General features: G+C 41.0%; 2 annotated features.

Moving 5' to 3' along the window:
• Window positions 6,578-7,403: an enhancer, noted in NCBI's record as "VISTA enhancer hs1118". NCBI's record gives its function as "enhancer in: forebrain[6/7] | branchial arch[4/7]" and the evidence as "EXISTENCE:transgenic organism evidence [ECO:0001131][PMID:17130149]".
• Window positions 10,092-10,592: an enhancer, noted in NCBI's record as "NANOG-H3K4me1 hESC enhancer chr9:84164162-84164662 (GRCh37/hg19 assembly coordinates)". NCBI's record gives its function as "activates a minimal SCP1, AML or CMV promoter by ChIP-STARR-seq in primed H9 embryonic stem cells {active_cell/tissue: H9 hESC(primed)}" and the evidence as "EXISTENCE:reporter gene assay evidence [ECO:0000049][PMID:30033119]".

Below are 23,528 nucleotides of genomic sequence, written 5' to 3'. Positions count from 1 at the left end.
AAATCTGCAAGAAGTAAACGGCAGGCAGTCTTCGCCAGTCCATCCAGTGGCTGTCAGGGTTGATGTAATCTCTGGATCCTTGTAGCATCTCCCCCACCTCAGTCCCTTTAGGCCTTTCTCCTGGCATCTAACTGGGGGACAAGACTGAAGGATATGGCTTCAGGATCCCTCATTCCGGGAACAGGAACAAATCGCAAGCCTCCTCTTTGTGTTGGTGTCTCTCTACCACACACTCTCATTGCATAGCATTTACGCACACACTGAATTACCTTGTTTTTTTGTTCGTACAAAAGTGTCATGTCAGTCACATTTTAGAGGTAATTAAGGGAACAATTTGGGTAGGGCTGAATTTGCAGAAATCAAGTGAATGTTGCTGAGAGTCGCTGTCATGAACTAGGTAAGGTTTTGACACCAAAAGTAAGCCACGACCTTTGCTTGAGTGGGTGTGAGTCAGGGAAGTTTCTAGAGGAGGTAATGCTTGAACTAAGATTTTGGCCTCAGATTTTGCTAAATAGTTGTGACTGAGCAAGTGTGTTCTAGATTAAGAAGATTTAGAAGAAAGGTAATCATGTCAGTCTGGGTTCTGGGACAAGAAGAGAGAGAAGCAGGGTTGATGTCTGGGCAGAGCTGGGTTGAATAGGGTGAGGATCCAGGAGGAGTAAAGTTGGGAACTTTCACATTTTCTGTGGGTCACAGGGAATCATCATTTTAGACCGTTCACCCTAGTGGTTCTGTGGAGAGGGAAGAGTCAAGAGATTTGTAATTTAGGTCAAGGGGCCAATCATTCACCCCTTAGTGTGAATTTCTATACACCTATCAATTCTGTCCAAAGCTCTAGATGGCATTGGCAGTAAGGAGAGAGGGTTTTACTGAGGCAGTGAGAAGACAGTAAGACGTTTTGAGGCAGTGGATCCTGTGAGGGAGTTCAGGCTTGGCGGAGGGCTGTGCCTCACTGCAGAAGGGCTATCTCCAGTGGTTTTCTGTGACTGAACACATGAAGTTGGGACAGGGAGGCACACGGGGGATTAAAGAAAGAGTGGAAAGGACACAGATGGCCCATGTCACAAGTCTGCCTGGAGTAGGTATCAGCCACATGAATGGATATGCCAGTAGGGGATTGTCAAGTGCTCTCAGAACCCAGGGTTACAGGTGTGACACCTCCGGAACATTTGTTCTTGTATTTATCAACGTGGCCAAGAATGAGTACGAGATTAAGAGAACAAATAGTTTGAAGATTAAGTAATCATGCATTCTGTCTTGGCAGTCTCTGTAGTGCCTCGTTTGATCAGTTTAGTAGAAGCAAGAGACAGTAGTTTACAATTGCAGAGCATGAAAGCTGTTCTCCCAGAAAGGTCTGAGTTCCTGGTAAAGGAATAATGAGCTCACAGGCTGGAAAGGTCACAAGCAAAGTTAACCCATAGCATGGAAAACTAAAAAATGACTTGTTACATCCCTTGTCATGGGCCTAATTTGTTTAAAATCAAATCCATCTGTTCATTTCACACCCTTTGTTCCACTTCCTTGCTGCAATCCACAGTGGATTACTCCATTACTTTAAAACTGGCTGCACTTACAATAAGCTAATAACTTATTTTGTGGTTAACTGCGTCAAGATATTCTGGAACACAACCAACATTCATTCTCTCTCTGTCTCTCAGTCTCTCTCTCCCTCTCTGCCCCTTTGAAGAAAGAACTTCTTAGTGCAGCACATTGACCAGGAAAATCCTTTAAGTCTCCTTCAAAAAATGTTGTGTTTACAGGCTCTGATGAGAGGCAGGTAGGAGAAGAGGTTTGTGTCGCTCTCTAGCCTTTCCTCTCACCACTCGAATAACCTGCTGCAAAGGCTTATTTGTCTCCCATGGGCCATACATTACAAAAGACTTCTTGGCTCAATTGATTCCATTTATGATCTCCAAATCTTAATTTCAAATGAAGCTTGCTCCTTTTCAGGAAAGAATTATCTTCTATGTAATAAACCAGAGTCCCCTGAGGCATTCATTTGAGATGCATCAATTCCCTTAAGGTCCCCTAACCCATTAAAATATGTACAGTATTTCTGGTTAACTAATGGATCACTGGAAAAAATGGGATTGCATGTAAGATATAATTCAAAGAAATGCACTTGGGGTTGTTGGCCAATCCATTCATAGGAACATTTGCTGATTGGGAAAATATTTAATTTTTTTGGCTTAATCTTTTGCCAGACCACACAAACTAGTGGAGGTTGTTATTTCTGATTTGTTGGACCCAATTCTGAAGACAGAGCAGCAATGGAATTTGTGATTTTGTCACTGCTCCTGATGAAGAAATGACTGGCTGGCATTTAAACACAGTTGGAGTTGTACAATCCATGGATATTGCCATTTTTTTTTTTCTTGTTGAGTGCAAGTTATGGCTAGATGTTATCATGTATTCACTCCTGCCTTGTTCTGAAGGGCCAAACATTTTGGAAATATTGTATTTATGAAATTGGATATTAAAATGGCAAGTGATTTAAGCTGAGGAGTGGGTGTTGAAAGATCCCAGCACACACGCTTGTAGTAATTTTACATTTTTCATTACTGTGGTAATTAAAAAATTCCTTAGGGCTGAATTATAGTAAAATTTTAAGTATCCTTATACTAAGCATAAACTAATTTTCTTTCCCACTGGACAGTGTTAAGTAGGAAATATTTTTAATTCTATCTCATTTATTCATATCATGAAAAATTGCAAACCTTGCTAATTTTATTCAATATCATTTCTTTCTAAATATTCTTAGATTTAGTAACTGATATGCATTTAGTATTAAAGGGTAAGCATAACTGAAAGTTCTTTTTTTTTGTCTCATCATGACCTCTACAAGTTCACTCCTAGTTCTTTTTTTAAATTTTATTGTATTTATTTTTATTTTTATTTTTATTTTTTTTGAGACGGAGTCTTGCTCTGTCGCCCAGGCTGGAAGGCAGTGGTGTGATCTCGGCTCACCGCAAGCTCCGCCTCCCGGGTTCACGCCATTCTCCTGCCTCAGCCTCCTGAGTAGCTGGGACTACAGGTGCCCGCCACCACGCCCAGCTAATTTTTTGTATTTTTTAGTAGAGACGGGGTTTCACCGTGTTAGCCAGGGTGGTGTTGATCTTCTGACCTCGTGGTCCGCCTGCCTTGGCCTCCCAAAGTGCTGGGATTCCAGGCATGAGCCACTGCACCCGGCTGTTCATTCCTAGTTCTTACATGCCCTGAGAAAAGTTATAGAGTCTGCACTTCTTGTTATCTAAGTTTATGAAGGTCATGAAAATGTGTCCATAAGTTTTTCTTTTAATTTTGAGATTGAGGAATATATGAAATGCTATGTGACCTTGGACAAGTCCTTAACTTGTCTTTATCTTTGAAGGAAATTTAATGAGCCAAATTCTCCCTGACCTAATTCCTGTTCTTGAAGTAACAAGTAAAACACTCAGAGATGCCCTCTGACTCTTTCAAGGCAAAAGGATGCCATTTTGTATATTATTTCCAATGGTATTAACTATAGGGTTCACTTTTCTGTTACTTATGGAAAGAGAAGTGAATGTAGCATATAAGGCATAGTACAGAATCTGATTCAAAACCATTTTATCTAGAAATGACAAGAAGGAACTGACTGCATCCATTCATGGAGCAAGAATATTCTATCATGGCTCACCCATTTGGAAGTTATGCCCAAGAGGCATGCAATGCCAGAGAAAGGGAAGAGGGAGAACAAAGAGAAAACACTATACCTCAGTGCTTAGGCTGATTCCATGTGATACCTGAGACCTGGGGGAAGCTTTGCACTTCATATATTAGGGGGTGGCTTAAGCAGGGGGAGCAGAGCATCCGTTGCCAACCTGGGAGATGGAGGAGGAGGATGATGAACAGAATAGGAAGAGGAAGAGTAGAAGGAGGAGAGGAAGGAGGGGCTTTCTGTAAGTGTACCCTGTATAAGGTGCTCTGCCAGTGCTGGTCATAATGGCTGAGGTTAGTAAGCATTACCCTCTTCATAAGCGCTGCTTCCATGGTGCTACATAAGCACTACCTCCTGTAATCCACCTGCACTGTAACAGACAAGGAAACAAAGCCACAACTAGTTCACTTGGCTAAATGCCCATAGCTGGTAAGATTTAAAGTGGGTCTTTAAATTGAGGGCTCATTCCTATGCTTTTTCTACAGTGTGTCATTGCCATTCTTAGAGATTCATTATGAGGTATACATTTGGTGTCCGTTCCATTCCTCTCACCCCATACCTATCCCAGGGGTTTTCAACCTAGCTATGTGGCAGAATCCGCCAGGAGATGCCAGGAGTCTTTCCTGAGACCTATTCAATTGGAACCTCCTCAAGTGAGGGGCAAATGGATAGTGACTGGTTTATACCAGAAAGTATTAGCATTTTAGCTAAGGGCTTCTTCATTCTACTTAGTCAGTCAGTGTTTATGTAGGATTATTAGGGGCCTAGCCCTGGACACTTTGAGATTAAAAACATTCTGTCTTCAAGACTCATGATCATCAAAATAAGTTTTCAGGATAGGAATAAGTATGGATGATGAAGCTTCAGATCCCACAATCGGCGAGTGGAACAGATGGTTTGGAGCAGAGACCTTATTGCTTTTCTACTGCTTGGGCAAACCTCCCCTGCCTGTCCTCCACACCAGCAAGCCAGGATAATCTGCTTAAATCAACCCTGCAACTCTCAAGGTTTGAAAATTTCCATGCCAAAACTTGTTGCTTTTTCTCTTTGAGGTGATCTTTTTTTGTGTACTGCTTACACATACTGGTATGATAATGAGCCAAAAATAAAGCACCATAATACTACTTTTTATAGAGGTATCAGCAATATCAGCAAATAGAGCAGAGACTACCTACTCTTTCCAGAGGCTAATCCAGTTCAGAGAGATGAGAGGTGTTTCTGCCTCAGTGTTTATTAACCTGTGAAGATTAGGTACTTCCTAATCTTTAGGAAGTGATGGTTTTAGTTTTTTATTTTCTTTCTTCCTTTAAAAAAAACTCAGACTTCTTTAAGTTCTTTGAAGATAGATATTATTTAGAAATGAGGTTCACAAGATTAGCAAGGGGTTCTGCATTCCTCTCTGGCACATACTCTGCTCTTTTTTTTTGAGGCGGAGTTTTGCTCTTGTCACCCAGGCTGGAGTGCAATGACAGAATCTCGGCTCACTGCAACCTCCGCCTCCCTGGTTCAAGAGATTCTCCTGCCTCAGCCTCCTGAGTAGCTGGGATTACAGGCATGAGCCACCATGCCCGGCTAATTTTGTACTTTTAGTAGAGATGGGTTTTCTCCATGTTGGTCAGGCTGGTCTCAAATTTCTGACCTCAGGTGATCCGCCCACCTCGGCCTCCCAAAGTGCTGGGATTACAGGCGTGAGCCACCGCACCCGGCCACATACTCTGCTCTTAACCCCTTCTTGTAGACTCCTGTAACCTTGAGACTCACTCCAGCCTCCTTATGCCAGGGCACGAGTGTGCAATTATCCTAATGTGAGAGTAATTTAGAGCATAGATCAGGTTGTCCAAAACATTCCTGTTGATCTGCTTTTCCAGTGACAGTCCCTAGATGCAAATAATCACAGAGTGCATTGGTTACTATTTCCATACGCTTCCATCAGTCCCTTCACATACAACCACTTGAGGAAAGCTGACCTGACTGAATCTCTGCTGTTTATTTACTTGCACTGTTTAATTCCATCTGAGTTGTTCTGTTTCTCACCTCAGTTTACTTTTGTAGGCAGTTTTTTCCCCCTTTCTTCAAAAGAAGCATCCAGGCAACTGTGGCCACAACATCTTGCAATTTATCTGTTTATATGCTGGTCTCCTCCACTAGACTGTGAAATCCCCAGCAGCAGGGATCCTGTCTTATTCATCTTTGTAAACCTCAGGACGTGCCAGGCCTGGCACAGAGTAGGTCTTTTATAAATAAAGTTTTTAAAAAATGCCTGAGTTGGTACAATGATTATGTTTTTTCTTTAATCAGACCTCCCCCCTTCCCTTATCTATCCTAAATCTTTTAGGTTGAACATGTATTATTTATGTAATATGAAAGAAGATTTAAATACAAAATAAAGATGTTTCTATTTCATTCTATGAAAACATTTCCACTGTTTTTAAGAAACATTCTAGGCAAAGCATAAATCAGTGTTGCAAGCATATTTTGCAAATGTTTATGTTATTTTTTGAAATGCATTTCACTGTACACAAGAACATGGTCAGAGGAGATATAAGAAAGAGTCTCGGCCGGGCACGGTGGCTCACGCCTGTAATCACAGCACTTTGGGAGGCTGAGGCGGGTGGATCACGAGGTCAGGATATCGAGACGATCCTGGCTAACACAGTGAAACCCCGTCTCTACTAAAAACACACACACAAAAATTAGCCAGGCGTGGTGGCGGGCACCTGTAGTCCCAGCTATTCGGGAGGCTGAGGCAGGAGAATGGCATGAACCCGGGAGGTGGAGCTTGCAGTGAGCCTAGATCACGCCACTGCACTCTAGCCTGGGTGACAGAGCGAGACTCCATCTCAAAAAAAAAAAAAAAAGTCTCTATTTGCTACCCAAAGGATTGCAACCTGTTGCATGGTGCCTTCTTCCTTCCAACATTCCCACCCCATGACTTAAAAATTACCAGCTTAGCCCTAACTCTGTAGACAGAAATTATTGAATGCTAATAATCTCTGGTAAGCCATTTAAGAGACATTGAAGTCGCTAATATATATGTGATCCCCTTTTTACTGCAATTTCCAGGGAAAGTGCTACAAAGTGATATGTGGCAATAACAAATTCAGAAGGAAGGGAATATGAAATTCGGCGAGCAGCGTGAATGATTTGCTGTTAGCATGGGGCCCAATAACACTACAAAGCTATAAACTCTGTCGATCTAGATTGCCCAGTTAGGTGGCAGAGATGCAATTTGTCTTTTCTGAAGCCGCCTGCTGCTTGCTAGCTCCATCTCCTGTCACAGCCTATTAGCTCCCCAAGAAAATTGGTGGGAAATTGCCTGCAGATTGTAGGAAATTGCATCTCCAGGCCCTGGAAAAAATGTAGGATAGCACAACACTGACCCTCCCAGAGCAGCTATTAATACAGCAAAAACTGACCTTTGACTTTCTGGGAAACGACTTTGCTATTTGCTGAATAAAGACTGTATTATATGTGGCTGAAGGAGGGTGCAAATGATTATCCTAGTGAGGCTCGCAGCCAACCTGCTTTTGAAAGCTTAAATATTAGTTAGAAGTTTTTTTTTCCTTCTTCTCTTTTTTTTGGTTTGTTTGTTTGTTTCAGCTGGAGAGGGTTTGAGTGTTGTACCTCTGCAGGGAGAAAACAGTCCAGTTGGCTTGTTTATGAAAGCAGCTTTTCCCCTGAGTTAAAAAGAAAAACTAAATTATGTCAAGGAAATGCTCATGAATCTCTAAGGCAAAAATCCAGGAAGTCAGTCTTTTAAAGACGAGATTAAAAAACAAAGATGAGCACATTTGAGCATTGTTTTTCTTTCCCCTCTGTTGTGCGGTACATACATTTGGGGCTTCCCCCGCAATCCCCAATTGCGTTTTACAATTCTACAATTCTGTCTATTTCTACTCACTTCTGAATTATTTTCTTTATAGGCCATCCTCAGAAGTTCAGACATCAAGATAATTCAGTGTTCCACAGGGGTACATATTGTGCATATTTTAAGCATCATTAACTTTATGTTACAAAAAAAATAAAGACCCTGACATGGTATTTACAGGCTTGCATTTCTCCCTAGAAGGATCTGAGCTCCCATTTACGAGCAGTGTTTTTGCAGAGGGAGAAGAGCAGCTTAGTTGCTCCTGAATGGGTGGGATGCCCTCAGTGCTGCTATATCCTAAATATTGTCCCCTCGGCACCAGCCTCACCCCCCTCCCATTACTGGGTCATTTGCTTTCAGTACCCTTGGGAACAAATCTGAAATCAGATGGTCGAATGCAGATCATCATTTCTATAAAGCAGTAAGATATAGACCATGTTGACAAGAAGGCACCCCACTCAGGGGAAAATAGCTCCAATGAAACTCCAAATTTATACATGATAGAAAGCATTGCCCATTCATTCATATGCTCATAATTTAAGAGCAAAATTGCTCTCAGTTATGATATACCGGCTTCTCTTTCCTTGTGAAGTGCAATGTCCCCCCTTTTATTATTTGTACAGATTGAAAAATTACTGAACGGGACTCCTCTCAGCTTTTCCAGAGTCCAGAGAGGTTTTCTTTCTTTCTTTTTTTTTTTTGACACAAGGTCTCACTCTGTCACCCAGGGTAGAGTGCAGTCTCGAATTCCTGGGCTCAAGCGATCCTTCTGCCTCAGCCTCCCGCGTAGCTGGGACTGAGGCGTGCACTGCTGCACCTGGCCAGAGGTATTCTTTCAACCTGCTGCTTTCTTACATTTCATTCTTGTTTCTAGAGAGAAAACTACTGGACACCATATTGTATCAGAGAGTGCTGAATCTAGCCTGAGAATTTCTGAGCTCTTATATGGGCTCTGATGCTCTAGCTGTGTGATCTTGGATAATTAAAAAAAAACTTATTAGAGCCTCAGTTTCATTATCTAAAAAATGAATGTTCTCCAAGAACTCTTCCAAATATTAAATTCCATGGTAACGGATAAGAAGCTGTGGTAGGATGGAAGGCTGGGCTGGTCCTAAGTCAGGCTCCCTTACCCTGCTGCCTGCCTATTTCTTATGCTTGACTGACTGTTCTTGGGGAAAGAGTTCTGTTTTGTCAAAGAATCTACTTTGGAGTCTACAAGCACTCAACAATCAACCAGCTAATTTACCAGTCATTATATATCAAGTAAACTACTTCCTTGTAAGTACAGAAGAACCCTAAGGAGTTCTTAAGAAATAGCCCCTCGAAACATTGGCTGTCAGAGTCAGTGGACATTGGGTGTAGGAGACCCATCACAAGGGGGCTGCTGGGGTATGGAGTTTAGGTATAGAGTTGGTCTTTATAGCTCAGTGTTATACAATATGAAAAGGAATATTGAAAGAATTCTGGTTAACCTCAAGAACATATACTAAGTGAAAAAAGCCAGACACAAAAAAATCGTACATTATGTGATTCTATATGTATGAAATATCCAGAATAGGTAAATCCACAGAAATACAAAATAGGTCAGTGGTTGCCAGAGGCTAGGGGTGTTGGGGTTGGAGTAGCAGGGAGTGACTGCTTAGTGGTACTGTTTTCCTTTTGGAGAGGTGACAATGTTTTGGAACTAGATAAAGGTGATGATTGAACAACAGTGTGGATGTACTAAATGCCACTGAATTGTACATTTTAAAATAGTTAATTTTATGTTATGTGAATTTTACCTCAATGAAAGAAGGAGATCTAGTTACATTGATAAATGAACAAATGTAAGGAGATACAATTACTTAACATTTAAAATGGGGACTTTAGCCTAGGCAGTGTAGCTCTTGCCACAAACTACCCCCGTGACCTTTCTTATCTGCCTCTGTTTCCACTTTAATCTTTGACCATGAGGACGATGTGAGAAATGACTGAATGTTCTGATTCTGCAGACCCTCAAATAATTCTACAGCTTCAAAGCCCAAGGCTAGGGCTGGTTTTGAGATATTTTAATTTTCAGGCGATTTATGAACACTATTTTCCCTACAAGCTCCTTCAAAATCCAATTCAGGTGCTACGCCTTTTCTGAAAAGTTTCCAATCCTTCCAGCTCAGAGAGCTCTCAGCCTTCTCTGAATGAATGGCATTTATCGACCCTTTTAGGGCTTTACTCACTTCCTACCTTGGATTATGGTTGTTTATTTTTCAGACAAGCCTTACCTCCCCTGCTTGAGGCCAGAATCAAATCTTTGGATCCTCCCAGACACCAGGGCAGTATGTGCTCAGTAAACATTTGTGCTTTTGCTCGTTTTCTTCTCTACCTGAAGTGTGCTTTGTAGAATTCCACAGCAGTTCTTTCCCTCCTTCTGCTTAGCTGCCGAGATATTTTTTTGTAGGGATCCACTCCTTTTGCATTCTCAGTCCCCATGACAACAGTTAAGCTAAATGCCTCCCCCATTTGCATACCACCCTTCCAACCATCTCCAGGGGTGAGCTCATTTACATATTCCAAATCTGAGATTCTTTCTACCATAGATTGCAGATTTGCGCTCACTATACCTGAAGGGGCAGGTGACCTTTTGCCATGGTGTGGGAAGAGGCTGCCTGGGAATAAAGCCAACACAAAGAAAAGCAGAGCCAAGCAAAGGAGAGAGACTGGTTCCGGGAATATTGTTTGCATCCCAAGGCTCTGCCCACCTAGAGTTAAATTTGCCCTTGGATTTCTTAGTTTCATGAGCCAACCATTTCCTCTTTTTTTTTTTTCCATGTCCAATATATTCTTTGAGGCTTTGGGTAAGGGCAGATGTGCTCTGGGAAGCCCTTGCATCTTTTTTTTTTTTTTTTTTTTTTTAATTTTTTTATCTCGTTCACCTGTTTTTCATAATTCCACTTTCAACAGAGGTTTATTAGGCAATAGAATATAAATAGGTACATAAAAGAATAAGACTTTTTTTTTACCTCTAGGGAGTTATATTTAGAGAAAACCTTGTGTTTAGTCAATTTTGCTTAACTTTATCTCCTTTAATCCTTATAGTAGTCTTGTGAGACGAGTATTACCACTCGGATTTTATAGATGAGGAAACAGAATCAGAGGCTATAAAATTATTCAAAGGAATAAGCCCACAGTTTGGTTATTTGAACTCCAACTTGGACATCTACTTCCTTTGCTCTTCCAGTGCAGTCTACTTTGCACTATGATTTATGTATGTTTTGTCTTCTTTACTAGTCTAGGTTCCTTCAGGGCAGGGACTGTGGCTTACTTATTTTTCAATCAGCCACAACTCTTAGCATAGTCTTTTAATGATGATAGGGTTTAGTGAGTATTTTGGGGGTAACTTGATAGATATATGAGTGAACCACAGCTGAATGAATAATTTGTGTCCTCTGAAGTCTGGAGCAGTATCCATATCACAATATTCATGGAAGCTAGAAATGCCAAAATGCTACTCCTGAAGTTCACTCTATTTGATACCTTAATAGCAGTCTATTTCCTCAAAGGCATCACCTCCATCATGGGAGCAGGTGTGGAGACATCAAGACTCAGGATCAGAGGAAGTTTTATCATGGAATGAATGATGGTTAAATTTTAGGGCCATCCATTTGCAAAGTCATATGTTTCTGTAAAATTTGCAAAAGTATGACATATAGTTTAAGATCACAGTGAAAACATATTGTTTAAGATCACAGTCTCTTTCCATTCCAACTTCCCTTTTACTACTCCTTCTCTCATATAGGATGGCATTGGAATGGCCATGAGTGTTGGGAATCCAAGTTAGAGGAAGTTGAATTGGGAATGCAGGTAGTTTGAGGTTAACAGGATGTGTTTATGTGGTTCCCAGTCACTTTCTGGAAGTACGCAGTGAATGTTTATTTAGAATGATAATTAGGCTAGGTATCCTCATATGGGAATGGTTTCTAGAAATACTCCTATTGCCTGTTGTGTTAATTGACCCAGCATTGTGCCATGAAGATATGGGGAAGAATTTTCTTGCACTATGAACGTGTCTTTTAGAGCCCAACATTGTAAATGAGTAAGTGATGGAGGGAAACACACAGAGTCAGTAGCAAACATGGAAAATTTGTCCAATTGTCAGCTCTAAGTAGAAAATTTGGTTCCCATTGAAGCCTAGTAAATGGAAGGTCTTTCTTCTCAGGAATACAACCTGATAGTACAACATGTACAATTATAAAAACACCATTTTTTATTTTCTTTTTAAATGAGAATTGAGGAAAATACAAGATTGGTATAGGGCCTTGCAAGGGACCCATGGGAGTGAGAGGTCCTGAAGCTCAAGTTTGATGGTAAATCCACTTCTGGAAACACTTTTTCAAAATGGTTGTTCTGTGAAGCAGTTGTCAAGAATGCAGACCAAAAAATATAGAAAAAATAATATAGAGGGGTATCAGACAGTCACAAATATTGTTTTTGCATTTTGTAACATTTGTGATATTAATATTTAAGAAATTTAGAATGTGACTTTTTTCATTCTAAAGACATAGTTATTAAGTAATCCTCTTACTAAAGAGTACTCACCTTTCCCTTACAAAAGTGTAAATACTTCAGACCTCACAAAATCTAGATTTGCTCCTGCTGGGAATAACTATCAAATGACTTTCGTTAGGTCATCTCCCTAAACACCCATGAAATTTAGCTCGCAGTGTTTCTTCCTGGAGAAGAATTCACTTTTGGTTTTCCTTAGGGACATGGACAGGCATGTTGTGATCTCTGAGTTTGCAAATTCCCAAGTGATAAGATGCCTCTTGCTTTCCAATTGTGTGGCAGTTTCTTTGGTTCTGTGTAATAACTTCAACTTCAGGATCTGTTAGGGCATCACTTTTTGCCAGTGAGAAGCACACAAGGCAAGGCTTTTTGGCTTACCATAAAATACTGAAATTGTATATTGCTGTGGAGTACTATTAACTACAATTTGTGCACAGATAGGCCAAGACCCAGGGGGGAAAATTACTTTACCCAAGTTCATGGGATAATGAGTATCAGAGCTGCAATTACAGTTTTCTGACTCCCCAACTGTACATGCAATTTGCAGGTTTACAGTCCTGCACAAAAAACCGCCAGAGAACACAGATGGGCTTCTAACCCCTGCTAATGAGAGCATCACTCTTCATTGATGGGATAATTAAGCAAATATTTAGTGGTCAAAAACCCACCCAGACTTTAAATAAAATCAATCAAATCCCAATCCCCTGGGAGTTGTTAGATTTGGAATTTAAAAAAAAAAATCTAAACTGTAAGTGTGTGTGTGTGTGTGTGTGTGTGTGTGTGTATATAGTTCTTACTTTTAAGATTTAAAGCAGAGAAGAGTTAATCCAATAGCATTATGCCTATTGAAAAGCCACATTCCTCAGAAAGGCCGTGCTTCTGACACTCAAAAGGCTCAAGGTCAAGACAGCATTTTCTCTTTGTTGATTGCTCTTTTTCTTTCCCCACTGAATTTTCCTTCTTCCTTATGGAATTAGACCCTTTAAGTAAATTGCAAACAGTTCCCCCTGTGTGAAGCATTGTCTAGCCTACCAAACTGCCTGAAACAATCGTTGACATTTCTTGTGTAAATAACAGCAGTGGATTCAGCGCTTCCAAGAATGGGAGTTGAAAAAATAATGAACTATGTTTTTTTCAAGATAAAACACACTGTGCTCTCCAGAAATCAGAAGGGTCGAAGGAATGAAAGAACAGATTAATACATAATTCCTGTGTTATTTTTATTACAACCCATTCCTTCCACCCTTCCACCCACAACTACTAATTCTCTTTACTCAGCTATATTTTTGCTTATTTCCATAGAATGTATCAACTCTGAACAAATTGTAGACTTTATTTATTTATTGCAACTATAGTTTATAAACTGTCTCTGCTTGCTAGAATAGAAGATCTAAGGGGACAAGAATTTTTATCTGGATATATTCCAAGCATCTAAAATAGCACGCGGGACATAATAGGAGATCAATAAAGAGTTTTTGAAAGACTGCATACTGTGTGTCAGCTCATGGAGAGCAAAAAGTAAATATGATATTTCCCTGAGAAGCCAAATTACTGTCTCCGTGGATTGAAATTCTAGAATTTTGGCATTAAATTTCATGCCATTCTTTCTCATCATTGGTATCAAGACCTTGATTTGTTTGTGGTAACAATGTGTCTACTAAAAACAGCCCATTTCCCAGCCTTCCCTGCAGCTTTTCTCTCACTTCTGGCCAGTGAGGCATAAGTTGAATTCTATAGGGATATCTAGGGAAGTTTTGCTTTCCTGATATTGTCACACCCTTTTCCTCTTTGTCACTTTTTTCTTCTTCCTGCCTGGAATGTGGACGTGATGCCCAGAGGAATAGCTACTATCATGAGACCCCGAGGATGATAGCAAAATGCTAAAGAAGGCAGACAAAAAAGATAGAAATAGAATAAAATGGCTTAGGGCGAGCACGGTGGCTCATGCCTGTAATCCCAGCACTTTGGGAGGCCGAGGTGGGCGGATCACCTGAGGTTGGGAGTTCCAGACCAGCCTGATCAACATGGAGAAACCTGTCTCTACTGAAAATACAAAATTAGCCGGGCATGTTGGCACATACCTGTAATCCCAGCTACTCAGGAGGCTGAGGCGGGAGAATTGCTTGAACCCGGGAGGCGGAGATTGTGGTGAGCCGAGATCACACCATTGCACTCCAGCCTGGGCAACAGGAGCGAAACTCCATCTTAGAAGAAGAAGAATAATAATAATAATAATAATAATAATAATAATATGGCCTACTCTTGGACTTCTTACATGAGGTCAATAAAACCCTATTTGGTTAAAGCCTTTTTATATGGATCTATAAATTGAATGGAAAACAATCCTCAAAAATATACCCGTATCAAGTCATGACTTAGTGAAATATCTTTAATATTTAATATTTTTCATAATCCCAATCCTTCAGAAAGTTAAGCCCATTGGATAAATTCTACATTTTGGTGCCTTACTATCACAGATCCAGGGAGTCTCAAAAATAGAGGAAAAAGAAAGATGACTGGAGTGCAGAGGATTGCTGCAGGATCTGCTCCAAAGAATAAACTTAAATAAATCTCGATTCAGTTAAAATGTACATAAAAATATATCGATCATATCTACCCTTCAAAAAGCAGCCCATTTCTAGCAGAGCCTTTCTTGTTTGCTTTCTTCCCGCTTGCAGTACTATATTATGATAGATTTATTGCTGTCCATGGCCGGGCGCGGTGGCTCATGCCTGTAATCCCAGCACTTTGGGAGGCCGAGGCGGGTGGATCACGAGATCAGGAGATCGAGACCATCCTGGCTAACACGGTGAAACCCTGTCTCTACTAAAAATACAAAAAATTAGCCGGGTGTGGTGGCAGGTGCCTGCAGTCCCAGCTACTTGGGAGGCTAAGGCAGGAGAATGGCATGAACCCGGGAGACGGAGCTTGCAGTGAGCCGAGATCTTGCCACCGCACTCCAGCCTGGGTGACAGAGCAAGACTCTGTCTCAATAAATAAATAAATAAATAAATAAAGATTTATTGCTGTCCATTTTCATGGACTAAGTATAGATCTGAAATCTGAAGTTTCAGATAATAGGGCTGAATCATTCAGCAATCTTTTGTGCTCATATAGTGGGTTGTTGTGACTCACATTCAGGTGTGTGTCTACAGGTGTATGTACAAGTGTGAAAGAATCGTGTGAATGTCTGAGAGACTTCAACAGGAGGTTCCCTCTTTGCACCCCAAATCAGCCAGTGATTTAGTCCACTCTTGCCTTAGCCAAGACAATCATTCCCGCCAGTCATTGTCATTTTGATAATTGCCCAACAGCAAGTTTTAACTTTTTTTTTTTTTTTTGTAGATTAGCTGAAGCACTACACAAAAATAAAATATCTTCCTTATTTCTGAGAAATTACATAGGCCCTTCTTGTGGACTTTCAGATTTGGTGCTCTGATTTTTTTTTTTATACTGTATAGCTAATCCTATAAAGAGAAACTTACAATTGCCTTCCACCAAGAAATTTAGAGCATTAGCTATCTGTATGTGTTTTTATTTTTTGAATGAATTAAATAATTTTAAATTTAATTTTATTATAATAATAATTATGATTTTCTTAGATATGGGGTCTCACTATGTTGCCCAGGGTGGTCTCAAGCTCCTGGGCTCAGTGATTCCTCACCCCAACTTCCTGAGTAGCTGGGACTATAGGCCTACGCCACTTTGCCCAGCTTGTGTGTCTGTTTTTAAAAGATGTTATCTGATTGTAGAAAATATCCCTTTTAAAAAGTTTAAAAAGTTTAACTTTGCAATTTCCTATGCTTTGGTCAGACACCTAAAAAAACAAAAAAGAACAAAAAACAACATTCCATTAAAAGGAAACCATTCAGTTACTTCTCTGTTTTTCTAGCTTTGCAGGGGGGCTTTACCATTACACTCTTTTGAGGAAACTTGTGTTATGAGGAGCAAAATGAAGGAAATAGAGAAGAAATAGTAAGGCTGCTTCAGTTCTGATCAGCTTTGTCTACCCTAGGGACTGCAAGTTCTCCTAGACATAGAACTTTAACTTAATTGCACTTTATGTAATTTCTTGCTCTTGAATTCTTCTTTCCTTTTTCCTATTATTTAACAAATTGATTCTCAATTTCAAATATTATATTTTTATACTTTTTTTTTTTTTTTTTTTTCACAGAGTCTTGCTCTGTCGCCCAGGCTAGAGTGCAGTGGCGCAACTTCGGCTCACTGCAACTTCTGCCTCCCGGGTTCCAACAATTCTCCTGCCTTAGGCTCCCGAGTAGCTGGGATTACAGGTGCGCGGCAACACGCCAGGGTAATTTTTTTACTTTTAGTAGAGATGGGGTTTCACCATGTTGGCCAAGCTGTCTCGAACTCCTGACTTCGTGATCCACTCGCCTCGGCCTCCCAAAGTGCTGGGATTACAGGCGTGAGCCACCGTGCCTGGCCTATTTTTATACTTTTTAAATGAAAAGTTGAAACGAGGCTGGGCGCCGTGGCTCACATCTGTAATCCCAGCACTTTGGGAGGCTGAGGCCGGTGGATCACGAGGTCAGGAGATGGAGACCATCCTGGCTAACTCGGTGAAACCCTGTCTCTACTAAAAATACAAAAAAATTAGCTGGATGTGGTGGCGGGCGCCTGTAGTCCCAGCTACTCGGGAGGCTGAGGCAGGAGAATGGCGTGAACCTGGGAGGTGGAGCTTGTAGTGAGCCGAGATCAGGCCACTGCACTCCAGCCTGGGCAACAGAGACTCTGTCTCAAAAAAGAAAAGAAAAGAAAAGAAAAGTTGAAACAAAACAAAACTGATTTATTCCACAATAAATCTCATAAAAACAAACAAAAAGATGTCCAAGGAGAAAGTATTGCCTTAATTCTCTCTTTGGGAGTTGTCTCAGGATTTGAAGATCAAGGCGGAGCTTACTCTCACTCCCCACCCTCAATATTCATTCTTCAGTTTCTCTTCATAAATAGAACCTTGGAACTCATAATAAAGACTACTTTTTCCAGCATCCTTCATAGCTAAGCATGGTCATGTGACTAAGTTCTGGCCAGAATTGGTGTGTACAACTTCATAGCATGTGGATGTGACGGCTGGACCACTTAAAGAAAACATTGTTTTTTAGTATGTGTGTTTTTTTTTTTGGAGTCATGCAGACAACGAAAATTCTGACATCAAACTCACACAAATAAGGCTTGTGTTTAGAAATCCTTAATGGGACAGTATAATTTTTTTTTATTTTTTTACTTCACTCAAATCCAAAGCCAACGTCAACAGAAGCATAAATGCCAAACATTACCCTCTGCAGTGTGTGGAATAATTTTCCCCTACACTCTGAGAATGTATATATTTGGAGGAACCAGTTTTATGCCAAAGCTCTTTAATCCGACCTGTTTCTTTGCTAGAGCCCCAACTTGTACTGGATGTAGCCCAGTAAAATATGAGCTACAGGCCACTTGAGGGCTCTTCAATGCCTTCTCTACTGCTTGCTTATCTTTCTAGATTCACACTTTTCATCTCTGGCCTCCTATCCATCCATATATTTTCCTGCCAGCCAAGCCATGCATTCCAATGACATTTTAAATATTTTATACAGCATTTTAGTTATGCCCGGAGGGATTAGTCTGCCATGTTGCTGGAAATAGAATTCTAAATCCTGTTTTGTCTCATCTTCAAAAAATAGTGCTTACTTGATCACTTTATATTCATCAACATTACTTCCTTTATTATCCCACCATTCTTCATGTTAGACATGGAGCTATGGGGTTTCTTTTATTTATTTGTCTTTCCTTTCTTTCTTTTTGAAAAACCTCTCCTCTTCATTTTCTTCCCTCCTCTCACATTTCTCCCCCTTTTTTTCTCTCCTGCTCTCTCTATCTCACTCTTTCTTTCTTTTGGAGAAATCTAGGGCCACAGAGCCATGTCACCAGTGGGCTTTTATTTATTTATTTGTTTATTTTTGAGATAGCCTTGCTGTCACTCAGGCGAGAGTGCAGTGGCACGATCTTGGCTCACTGCAGCCTCTGCCTCCCGGGTTCCAGCGATTCTCCTGCCTCAGCCTTCTGGGTAGCTGGGATTACAGGCACCCACCACCATGCCCGGCTAATTTTTGTATTTTTAGTAGAGACAGGGTTTCACCATGTTGGCCAGGCTGGTCTCAAACTCCCGACCTCAGGTGATCTGCCTGCCTTGGCCTCCCAAAGTGCTGGGATTACAGGTGTGAGCCACTGCACCTGGCCGAGTTTTAAAAAGTAGAAGAATCACTGTTCACTTCTCCAGTCAAGAATATATTGTGAATTCTCAGTCATTTGTATTATAAGGTATCTTAGTTAGTTTGGGCTTCTATAAAAAAGTACCACAGATTGGGTGGCTTATAAACAACAGGAACTTATTTCTTACAGTTCTGGAGGATGGAAGTCCAAGATCAGGGTATGAGCATAGACAGGTTCTGACGAGGGCTGTCTTCTCAGTTGTAGACTGTCATCTTCTCCTTATATCTTCAAATGGTAGAAGAAGGGTGTAAGAGCTCTCTGGAGTCCCTTTCATATGTGTACTAATCCCATTCATGAGGTTTAACCCTCATGACTTAATTACCTCTCAGTGTCCCCACCTTCTGATACCACTACATTAGGGGTTAGGATTTCAACATATGATTTTTTTTTTTTTTTTTTAGACGGAGTCTCATCTCTGTCACCCAGGCTGGAATGCAGTGGTTCGATCTTGGGTCACTGCAACGTCCTCCCAGGTTCAAGAGATTCTCCTGTCTCAGCCTCCTGAGCAGCTGGGATTACAAGCATGTGCCACCACGCCTGGCTAATTTTTGTATTTTTAGTAGAGACAGGGTTTCACCATGTTGGCCAGGCTGGTCTCGAACTCCTGACCTCAGGCGATCCACCCGCCTCGGCCTCCCAAAGTGCTGGGATTACTGGCATGAGCCATCGTGCCCCACCTCTCAACATATAAATTTTAAGAGGGCCCATTCATTCCATTGCATAAAACATACTGTCTAATAATGTTTTATAGATTAAAAGATCAGATTTATTTAAGACACATCCATCAAGCACTTGCTATAAACAGTGATAGGGGATCCAAGATAAATATAGCGTGGTCCCTGCCCCTGAAGTCCTTACAATTCAGAGAAGCTGACGCACTAGATCAGTCACTGAGCATACAGCTGTACAACACGGGTCTCTCACTCGGCTTCAGAACAGCACCCAGTGACTGGAGAAGGAAGAACAGACAGAACACCTGTTGATGAAGGAGACGGGCCTTCTCATCTCATATGACACTGTGGGCTTGCACCAGACTTAAAATATCATGACTGGTGTCCTGAACTTTGTTTCATTCATTCATAGAGCACATGTTAATTGAGTGCCAACTGTGTGTCAGGCACTGTGGGAGGCACTGGGGCTCCACAGATGAGTAAGATCCTGCCTTAAAATAGCTGGTTGTGTGGGGTGGCTGTGCAGTGTGTTAGTGCCATGGCAAGTGGAAGCACAAGGTGCTACGTGAACAGGGGGGTGGGGCAGATGTAGAAGGTGTCTAGAGGAGGTTAATCTGTATGTGGGAGTTCCCCTTTAAGAGACCCCCCACATGAGAGGGGCGCGGTGGCTCCCTCCTGTAATCCCAGCACTTTGGGAGCCCAAGGCGGGTGGATCACAAAGTCAGGAGATCGAGACCATCCTGGCTGGCACGGTGAAACCCCGTCTTTACTAAAAATACAAAAAAATTGCTGGGCGTTGTGGCTGGCGCCTGTAGTCCCAGCTACTTTGGAGGCTGAGGCAGGAGAATGGCGTGAACCCAGGAGGCAGAGTTTGCAGTGAGCCGAGATCACGCCACTGCACTCCAGCCTGGGTGACAGAGCGAGACTCCGTCTCAAAAAAAAAAAAAAAAAAAAAAAAAAAAAGACCCCACATGAGCTAATCTTGTAGCTCAAGAATGTAGTGACAGAGGTAGTCAGGTCCCTGGAATTGGAGTTTTGTCTGGGAAACAAACACCATATAATTATTGTTTATATTATGTGTGTGAGACTGTTTTTGGCCTTAAAGAAATCACAAACACATTTCTTGTGGGAGTGTAGAGGAATCTTCTGCTTTTGAATGAGTGGATAAACTGATCAGGAAGCTCCAAATTCAAAAAACAGACCCGCCGTAAGTCAGAATGTAGATGTCAGCCTCAGAGATCTGATGTGGTTTCTTTTCTATCACAGCTTGGTGACCTCAAATAGCCCCTTGCAAAAGAGCTGGCACAGGCCATTACAAAAAGTGTTATATTGCACTTTAGTATTTGAACACATCCTAATTGGGATAGGTGAAATAATGACCTAGATATAGGACTGTTTCCACAGGCTCATTTTCCAATTACCACAACGTACAGTGGAAATAATCACTTTGTTAAGATCCATTCTATTAGGATCATGCTTTACATTGGTGTCCCAAGACATACAAATTTTTATTAGTACAAAAGCGCAAAGGGAGAAAACAGACAATTCATAGAACTGCAGGATAATGGACGTTTCTCAGTGTATATACTGTCTCTATTCTTGGTAGATCGGTTGGCTGGAGTAGGGCCTAGCAGATGACATACTGAATGTATTCTTGGTTGTAGATCACAGCTGAACAAACTGCTCTGGAGTGTGAAGGGTCAGCGCAGTGTAAACAGAACTCAGCAGTGACCTATGGAGTCGTCTCAAGACATAATAAATACAGTCTTCATGCTCCCTCCCACCTTCTGCTGATTCAGGTATTCTCCAGCACCATGGGGCTCGTCTCTGGAGCAATATTTCAAACCCAGCAGACCATTGTATTTGGAGTAGATTTTCTAACTATGCTTTTAATTTTGGCAAAATAGCATTTAGCTCTTTCTGAAAGTGTCATCATACACATGGAGCTTCACTGAGAAAGAATAAAACACTTTTAGAACACTCCATTAGCTTTGGCTACCATTAGTTTTGCTATTCTGGAAGAATTTCTCTTAGATTTAGGGGATAAAAACAGAATTACTTCTTTCAGTTCAGAATAGAATTTGTGGCAGAATCATTAACTTTTCTCTCCTTGAAATCCTCCAATGACAATTTAGTCCTCCTGTCTTCCTTCATTGAGGGGTGTCTAGGCTAGTATTACCTCCTGCCAAAGTACCATTGAGCCCACATCCACCCTGTTTCCTTCCCTGGACAGCCACAAGTCAATCAGGAGAGCGTGTACCAGTTCCTGCCCTTCTTGGATAAAAAGGCTCTCTGATTAGGCTCTGCTATCAGCTAGCTTATACTCACTTATGGAGGTATTTGAAGACAAAGCTGCTCACCTGGACCTGAGGCGACTGGAGCTGGTGAGAGGGTAACATAATCCTTATGTTCCCTGTGTACCCCAGGGCAGAGGAGAAAGAGATTTAGGAAGCTGTGCGAATATATCTAGGAATGCTTTCCAACCTTCATCATGTGCAAAATTCACACAGATTTGCTTATCCAATGGGGTAGTCTTACCTGAAGACAAAAGCTGCTCATAGAATGGTACTCTCTGACACTGCACTGTTAGATACAGTGTAACTTCCCTTCACCCCAAACCAAGCCAAACAGACAGCTCAGTCCATAACCTACAGTAATTTAATCCAGATGGTCATATTTTCTTTACATTGCAAACCATTTCCAGTGAATTCACTGTTTTTTTTTCTTTCCTATTTTTATAAAGTTTTGGCTTGCTAAGTACTAGCTATCCAAGAAGAGGAAAGATCAGATGCTTAAGATTAAGCATTGAAAGTCAATGATGTTTGATCATATGCTCTCACTCATAAGGGGAAGCTAAGCTATGAGGATGCAAAGGCATAAGAATGAAACAATGGACTTTGGGGACTAGGGGGAAAGGGTGGGAGGGGGGTGAGGGATAAAAGACTATAAATTGGGTACAGTGTATGCTGCTTAGGTGATGGGTGCACCAAAATCTCAGAAATCAACTCTTATTATTATTGGTTAACTTATTCATGTAACCAAACATCACCTGTTCCCCCAAAAACCTGTGGAAAAAAAGAAAGTCAATGATGTTTGCTTAAAATACAATGGAATAAAATGAGCTGCAGACCCACAGGTCCAAAAGTTAAAACTTGACTGAGACTTATGCTATTAGATAGTTAGTTTTATTTGGAAGTCAAGTGTTCGTGAAGGATAAAGCTAATAATGGTGGCATTGAGGAGAAGATGGGGATGTTATGGTAAAGAAGTGGCCCATACCCAGCTGTTGCGTGGCATCATTTAAAATCTCAACAGAATTTTCCGGTGAAATAAAAAGACAACAAGAAATTGATACAGAGGGCTAGAATATGTTGGTCATTAACTTCTTCAACTTGGAGACTGTGATGAGTCAGGGTAGGAAATTTCAAGAGAAAAAACAAAATTAAAAGTTAAAAAGAACAACCGAAAGAGATCTGATTTAGAGAATTATGCGCATCCATGTATGTCTTAGCCACTCTTCATCTTACACTAGATGCATTTAAAAGTGAAAAACAAGGTCTCATATGACTGGCTAAAAATAATTTCAAGACCTTTCATCAGTCATTTTTACCCAACACCTACTTGATTTACAAACTCATCGCTTTGCTTGGCAAATAAAGATGTTCTTAGCTTACTTTGAATACTGTTTCTTCTTTGGCCTTTATGTCTACCCCATATATATGAAACTTTCCATGCTCATCTCTCTTCGCTTCTTCACAGCACTGTGTAAATCTAGCACTTGCCTAAAATTATTCCCAACTTAGAAGATTCAACTTACTCTTCAATACAAAAGGAAACATATCTCTCCTGGACAGCTACACAACATTCTGTACACGTCCACATGGTCTTTGTTGGCATAAGTACTTTGCAAGGGCAAAAACCATGTCTTTTGTAAGTTTGTGTGGTTTCTGCTCCTGTGTCATGACCCATACGGACGCTCAATAAATGTTGAATCAAAGTGAATTGCTTTCCAGTGCATTTATTGGCGCACGTACTCTGGTAGGTCAAGATCCATCTCTTTTTGCAGTGCTCAGTGGTTTTCTGTTTGAATGCATTCCTGACCAGGCCAGAGTTGTTGGATGGCTCTAAAAATTGTTCACAGCTTGCTAAACAAGGAAGCTGCATGGTTGCATTATTGTATTGTGGCCATGTCCCAGGTTTACAAATCAAGAAAATCCCTCTTATGTTGTACAAATGGTTGTTCTTTCTCTTTTGTTCTCTTTTCCTTTTTCCTTCCTTCCTTGCTCCCTTCCTTTCTTTCCTTTCCTTCTTCCTTCCCCTCTTCCTCCTCTATGCCCTCTTCCATTTCTTTCTAACAAAGCTCTGATGTGAAGCTCAAACACTTATAACAAGATCAACAGCAGTGAAGGGCTGTCTTTTTCAGCCCAGCGAAGATAACAAACGCAACTCCACAAGACTGGCCTCATACCCCAATTGAGGAAGGTGTCAACAAGATGAGTTGA

Source organism: Homo sapiens, chromosome 9, assembly GCF_000001405.40.
Source record: "Homo sapiens chromosome 9, GRCh38.p14 Primary Assembly".
Lineage (NCBI taxonomy): Eukaryota > Metazoa > Chordata > Mammalia > Primates > Hominidae > Homo > Homo sapiens.
The sequence above is the reverse complement of the archived record's forward strand: the minus strand, read 5'-3'. Positions and strand labels throughout refer to the sequence as shown.